Here is a 6,000-nt window from a genome sequence, read left to right as displayed (position 1 = left end):
ACATCATGTTTAAAGAGTAAGAAATAATACTGAACTCTATAAATCACATTATTTACATATATAAAAATATATGCACAAAAGCAACACAAGTTACAATAAGACATACAAATAAAAAGGCACATTAAATACATTCAAATTATGGGAGAAATCTGAGACAAGAAAGGGAAAATTAGATTTTTTAAAAGGAACAAATAGGCGGAGCGCCCGTGGCTCATGCCTGTAATCCCAACACTTTGGGAGGCCCAGGTGGGAGGCTCTTGGAGACCAGTCTGGGCAACATGGGGAAACCCCATTTCTACAACAAATACAAAAAAATTAGCCGGGCATGGTGGTGCACGTCTATAGTCCCAGCTATTCAGAAGGCTGAGGTGGGAGAATCACCTGCGCCTAAGAGGTCGGGCACCAGTGAGCCGAGATAAATAAATAAATAAATAGATAGATAGGCCAGGCGCTGTGGCTCACACCTGTAATCCCAGCACTTTGGGAGGCTGAGGCGGGCAGATCACTTTAGGTCAGGAGTTCGAAGCCAGCCTGGCCAACATGGTGAAACCCCGTCTCTACTAAAAATATAAAAAATTAGCTGGGTGTGATGGTGTGCGCCTGTAATCCCAGCTACTCAGGAAGCAGAAGCAAAAGAATCGCTTGAACCCGGGAGGCGGAGGTTGCAGTGAGCCAAGATCATGCCAGTGCATGCCACTGCATGCCTGGGTGCCACTGCATGCCTGGGTGACAGAGACACCATCTCAAATAAATAAATAAATAAATAAACAAAATAAATAAGAGAGGAGCCTTCTACAAACTGCTGTGGAAGAGAAGGGAAGACCATGATTACCTTAAATCTACCTGAAATAAAAATAGAATAAAATGAGGCAGAGTAGAAAGGGGGCTTGGCTGCAGGCTACCCCCACTAGGGCATTCCTTCATGCATCTCCACTGATCACAAAACCTACCCCACTGCCTCACTGACGCCATAATGTTAGAACTATGCATTTAAAAGAATTCCAGGAACTGACCTTAGGAGACAACCAAGGTTGCCGAGTGTCCCACTTTGGGAAGGAATGTTGAACAATCAATCGATTTACAGTCTCTTGCCTCCGGCCAGACGACAGGGTGGCTCATTAACTCAAGATAACCAGAGTAACTAAGTATGCCGCCCTGCACGCCCTACCCCGACGTCAGTTCCCGCGCTTTGCCTCTTAAGAAAGCTTTGCCTCTTAAGAAAGACTCGGGCTCTGGAGCTCCAGCAGAGCCGGGGCCTCGGCTCCAACCCGTCGGGCCCCGACTTGAAGCAGCGGGGAACCTCTCCTCACACCTCGGTGACCGGGTGGCCGCCGGGACACAGAGGCTTTGGGTGGCGGCGTGTTTGCGGGTCGGGAAGAACCGCGCAGAGGCCACTAGGGCGCAGGGCCCGGGAAGGCGGAGCTAGGGACTGGCTCGGCCTCCTTTTTAGGCCACTGCGCCGCGCAGATCCGGTCCTCGGGCGACCGCTCTGTCCCAGTTGGGCGAGACTACCTGGTCCTGATAACAGTGGATAACGGCTTTAACGGCCAGAAGGTCAGCGCAGTCCCGGATGAGGACGAGTAGAACGGTAACGGCCATGGGGCGGTTGGCCTTCCTTCTACCAGACCTTGATGTGGGAAGAGAGAAATGGAGTAACAAGCCACATTTGGCGCTTTGGAGATGCCCACCACGCTTTGGGAAGATGTACCAGCGTTTATAGAAGGCCCGAGTGTATAAGGTGAGAAAGCTACTCTCAGCTTCCCCGAAAACTTTTACAAGAAAACATTTGCCACATCTAGCCCCTCCAGATGTAAAGAAGCTGCCGATGTATGATAGACTAAGAATATCACACATCTTGTAAATTCCCATTTGTTTAAAAAAATCGTAGAAAATAAACATCTTCTGGAGATGACTTTTTGAAATGGAGATGTTGCATCACCTCTGGAGCAGACACATACACGTTTGTTCAGTGGGTTAGACTAGGACATGGAGAAGATCTGAGAAGGACGAGAAGAAGGTCCTATGCCAGACTGGTCATATTTAGAAGACGTTTACATATTATAATCGTTGTCTTCCGTGTGCATTTTATTCCTCACTACTGTATATGTAGTTGACAACTCCAAGTACTTTTTGAAATGTCTAGTCTTTTTTTTTTTTTTTTTGAGATGGAGTCTCTCTCTGTTGCCTAGGCTGGAGTGCAGTGGCGCGATCATGGCTCACTTCCCACGTACAAGTGATTCTCCTGCCTCAGTCTCCCAAGTAGCTGAGATTACAGGCGCGCACCACCATGCCCTACTAATTTTTGTATTTTTAGTAGAAACGAGTTTCACCATGTTGGCGAGGCTGGTTTTGAACTCCTGACCTCAAATGATCCGCCCACCTCGGCCTCTCAAAGTGCTGGGATTACAGGCCTGAGCCACTGCTCCCGGAAATGTCTAGTCTTTCTAGATGGTCTGAAGTGTCTAATACGTGTTAAATTTAGAGATAGTAAAATATTACATTTTGTAAATATCTTTTGGTTAAAATTCATATGAAATGTTTTGAGAGGGGAATGGCCAACCACCAGTTCAGTAACAAACATTGTGTTTATGCACTGGTTCAGGGCAGGAGGAGAAGGAGGCTGTGCAGAGAGCTCTATGCCACCAGTGTGCTTACGGTGAGGCAAGATTAACTATTGTCTCTCATGTCTGTGCACTTTGTTTTCCTTATCTGTGTATACAGTGTTTATAGAGGAAAACAAGTCCTAATTTACATCTAGACTTTCTAGACATTAAAGAGGTTTCCAGTATATGACAAAAGTAGAGTTAGTAAACTAATATATCTTGAACATATTGTTTTAAAATTCCTTGGGAAAATTGTCTTCTGAAAATCTGAGCATTACTGGCCACTGGGTTGACTGAGATGGGAAGGGTTCTAGGCTGGAATATTTTTATTTGGAAGATTCTTTCAGATTTTAACTATTGTTACATGTGTACAGTTTATTCAAGACTGCTTTGCAGGACCAGCACGATGGCTCACACCTGTAATCCCAGCACTTTGGGAGGCTGAGGTGGGTGGATTGCTTGAGGCCAGGAGTTCAAGACCAGCCTGGCCAACATGGTGAAACCCCATCTCTACTAAAAATACAAAAATTAGCTGGGTGTGGTGATGCATGCCTGTAATCCCAGCTACTTGGGAGGCTGAGACAGGAGAATCACTTGAACCAGGGAGGCGGAGGTTGCAGTGAGCCAAGATCACACCACTGCACTCCAGCCTGGGTGATGGAGCAAGACCCTGCCTCCAAAAAAAAGAAAAGAAAAAAGAAAACTGCTCTGTATATAGTGGACAACAAATATACTCCTTACCTGAAACATCTAGCCTATCTAGATGTTTAGAAGTGCCCAGCATATGTTAAATGTACAGGTAACATTTAACCTCTAATGTAAGAGTAAAATAATCACTTAAAAATATCTTTTTGCTAAAATTCATAAGAAATAGTGTCTTTTGAAAGTGGAATTGTTGCCAGGCGCGGTGGCTCACGCCTGTAATCCCAGCACTTTGGGAGGCCGAGGCGGGTGGATCACCTGAGGTCAGGAGTTTGAAACCAGCCATGGTCAACATGGTGAAACTCTGTCTCTACTAAAAATACAAAATCAGCTGGGCGTGGTGGTACATGCCTGTATTCCCAGCTTCTTGGGAGGCTGAAGCAGGAGAATCGCTTGAACCTGGGAGGCAGAGGTTGCAGTGAGCCAAGATCACGCCATTGCGCTCCATCCTGGGCAACAAGAGCGAAACTCCATCTAAAAAAAAAAAAAAGAAAAGAAAAGAAAGTGGAATTGTTAAACCGCCCCTGTGAGTGGTATAGTAGTGTCTATACTTGTTTAATGGTTTAGTGGAAGTGGGAGGGAAGATATTGCAAAAGGTAATATGCTAGTGTGCTTATACTTGGACTTTTTAGACACCATTTTTCTGTATGTTTTGTGGATTTTGTTTTGCTGTGTATAAAGTTTATAATAAACAAATGAGTCATAATTTTGCAACATCTAGTCCCTTAGATGTTAGAGGTTGCCAGTGTATGACAAAGTACTCAGTAAAATTAGCTCATTTTGTACACTTTGTGTTGAAATTCATAGGAAAGCTTGTCTTCTGTAAATGACTTTTGGATACTAATTTGTTCAACCATCTCTAAGCATTACATGTGCCTGTACATGTCCACTGAATTGAAGGCAGAGAGAAGGAAGTGAGGAGGGAATGGTTCAAGACTAAAATGATCATATTTGGAAGATACCTCAGATTATAACCATTGTTACATGTATGCAATTTTATTTAACAGTGCTGTATACATGGTGGAAAAGTTATATGAAATATCTAGTCTTTTCAGCTATTTAGAAGTGCTTGATGTATTTAAAAGCAGAAGTAGTTGAATAACACTTTGTAAATAGCTTTTAAAGACTGATGGGAAATACTGTATTTGGAAGTGGAATTGTTAAACCACCTCTCTGAACAGTGTGCTCTCTACTTGTTCGTTGAGTTGAGGGAGGTAGGAGGAAAGAAACTGCAAAAGGTGTTTTGCTAGTGTGTACTAGAAAATTTCAGCTTATCCATTGCCTTATATGTTATGTGCTTTTCATTTAACTTTGCTATACTGCGCATATTGTGTATATACTGGACAAATGAGTTGTTGAGTGTATATTTTATAATATACAGTCTCTATATATTAAATTTTATAATATCTAGTCAATTTTGTAACATCTAGTCTCTAGATATTAAAGAGATTGCCAGTGTATGACAAAAGTAGTGTTAATAAACTAACCCATTTTGTACACTTTGTGTTAAAATTCATTTAAAGACTGTCTCCTGAAAAGGACTTTTGGAAGTGAAATGATAACATCAGCTAAGTGACACAAGTGCCTATATCCACTGAGTTTGTGGTGGAGAGGAGTGGGAAGAAATTAAGGATTCTAGAATAGAATGTTTCAATTTAGAAGACACTTTCAGATATAACCACTGTTACATGTGTGTGGTTTATTCAACACTACTATGTATATAGTGGACAAACTTAAGTCCTTAATTGAAACATCTAGGCTTTCTAAATGTTTAGAAATGCACAAAATGCATTGTAGATACCGTTTTGATTCGTATGAAATATTGTCTTTTGAAAACTGATCAAACTAATTCCCTGAGCAGTACACATTATTATATTTGTGCTGGTTCAGGGAGGAAGGAGAAGAAAGTGCAAAGGGTTTTATACCAGTGTGTTTATGGTCTTTTACTATGCTGTGTATATAGTGTATATAAATGCACAAACGAGTCCTAATTTACAACATCTAGTCTTTCCAGATGTTAAGGAGGTTGCTAGTGTATGACAAAAGTAGAGTTAGTAAACTGATACATTGAGTACACCTTATGTTAAAATTCACAGAGTGTTCTTAAAAACACAGAAGTGATCAGGGCCCAGTGGCTCACGCCTGTAATCCCAGCACTTTGGGAGGCTGAGGCAGGCAGATCACGAGCTCAGGAAATCGAGACCATCCTGGCTAACACGATGAAACCCCGCCTCTACTAAAAATAAAAAAAAATTAGCCGGGCACATGGTGGCACACGCCTGTAGTCCCAGCTACTCAGGATGCTACTCAGGAGAATCGCTTGAAGCTGGGAGGCAGAGGTTGCAGTGAGCTGAGATCGCGCCACTGCACTCCAGCCTGGGAAACAGAGTGAGACTCCATCTCAAAAAAAAAAACAACAAAAAAACAAGAAAAACCCCACAGAAGTGAAATTGTTAAAATCTCTAACTGGATGCTTATTCCTCTTCTGGATGCTCATACCTGTCCATAGGGTTAATTTAGAGGTGAGAAGGGAAACGATTCTAGGCCGTAATGTTCCTATTTAGAAGACACTTTTAAATTATAGCCTGTGTTATGTATATGCACCATTTATTCACTGCTACTGTATATACAGTGGAAAACAACTCCTATTTGAAACATCTTGTCTTTCTAGATGTGTAAAAGCACACAACATAGG

General features: G+C 42.5%; 1 protein-coding gene across 5 annotated transcripts in view; it reads left to right on the top strand.

Annotated features, from left to right (window-relative positions):
- The first annotated feature begins 1,560 nt into the window (after window positions 1–1,560).
- Window positions 1,561–6,000, top strand: part of SCAND3 (SCAN domain containing 3) — a 45,668-nt gene continuing 41,228 nt past the window's right edge. For all 5 annotated transcript variants that reach the window (XM_011514287.3, XM_047418158.1, NM_001329616.2 and 2 more), the window contains exon 1: window positions 1,561–1,738. The gene's annotated coding sequence lies outside the window, so the exon portion shown is untranslated. The remainder of the gene's footprint in view (window positions 1,739–6,000) is intronic.

Source organism: Homo sapiens, chromosome 6 (genome assembly GCF_000001405.40).
Source record: "Homo sapiens chromosome 6, GRCh38.p14 Primary Assembly".
NCBI classification, from domain to species: Eukaryota; Metazoa; Chordata; class Mammalia; order Primates; family Hominidae; genus Homo; species Homo sapiens.
This window is presented reverse-complemented; position numbering and strand designations above follow the sequence as displayed.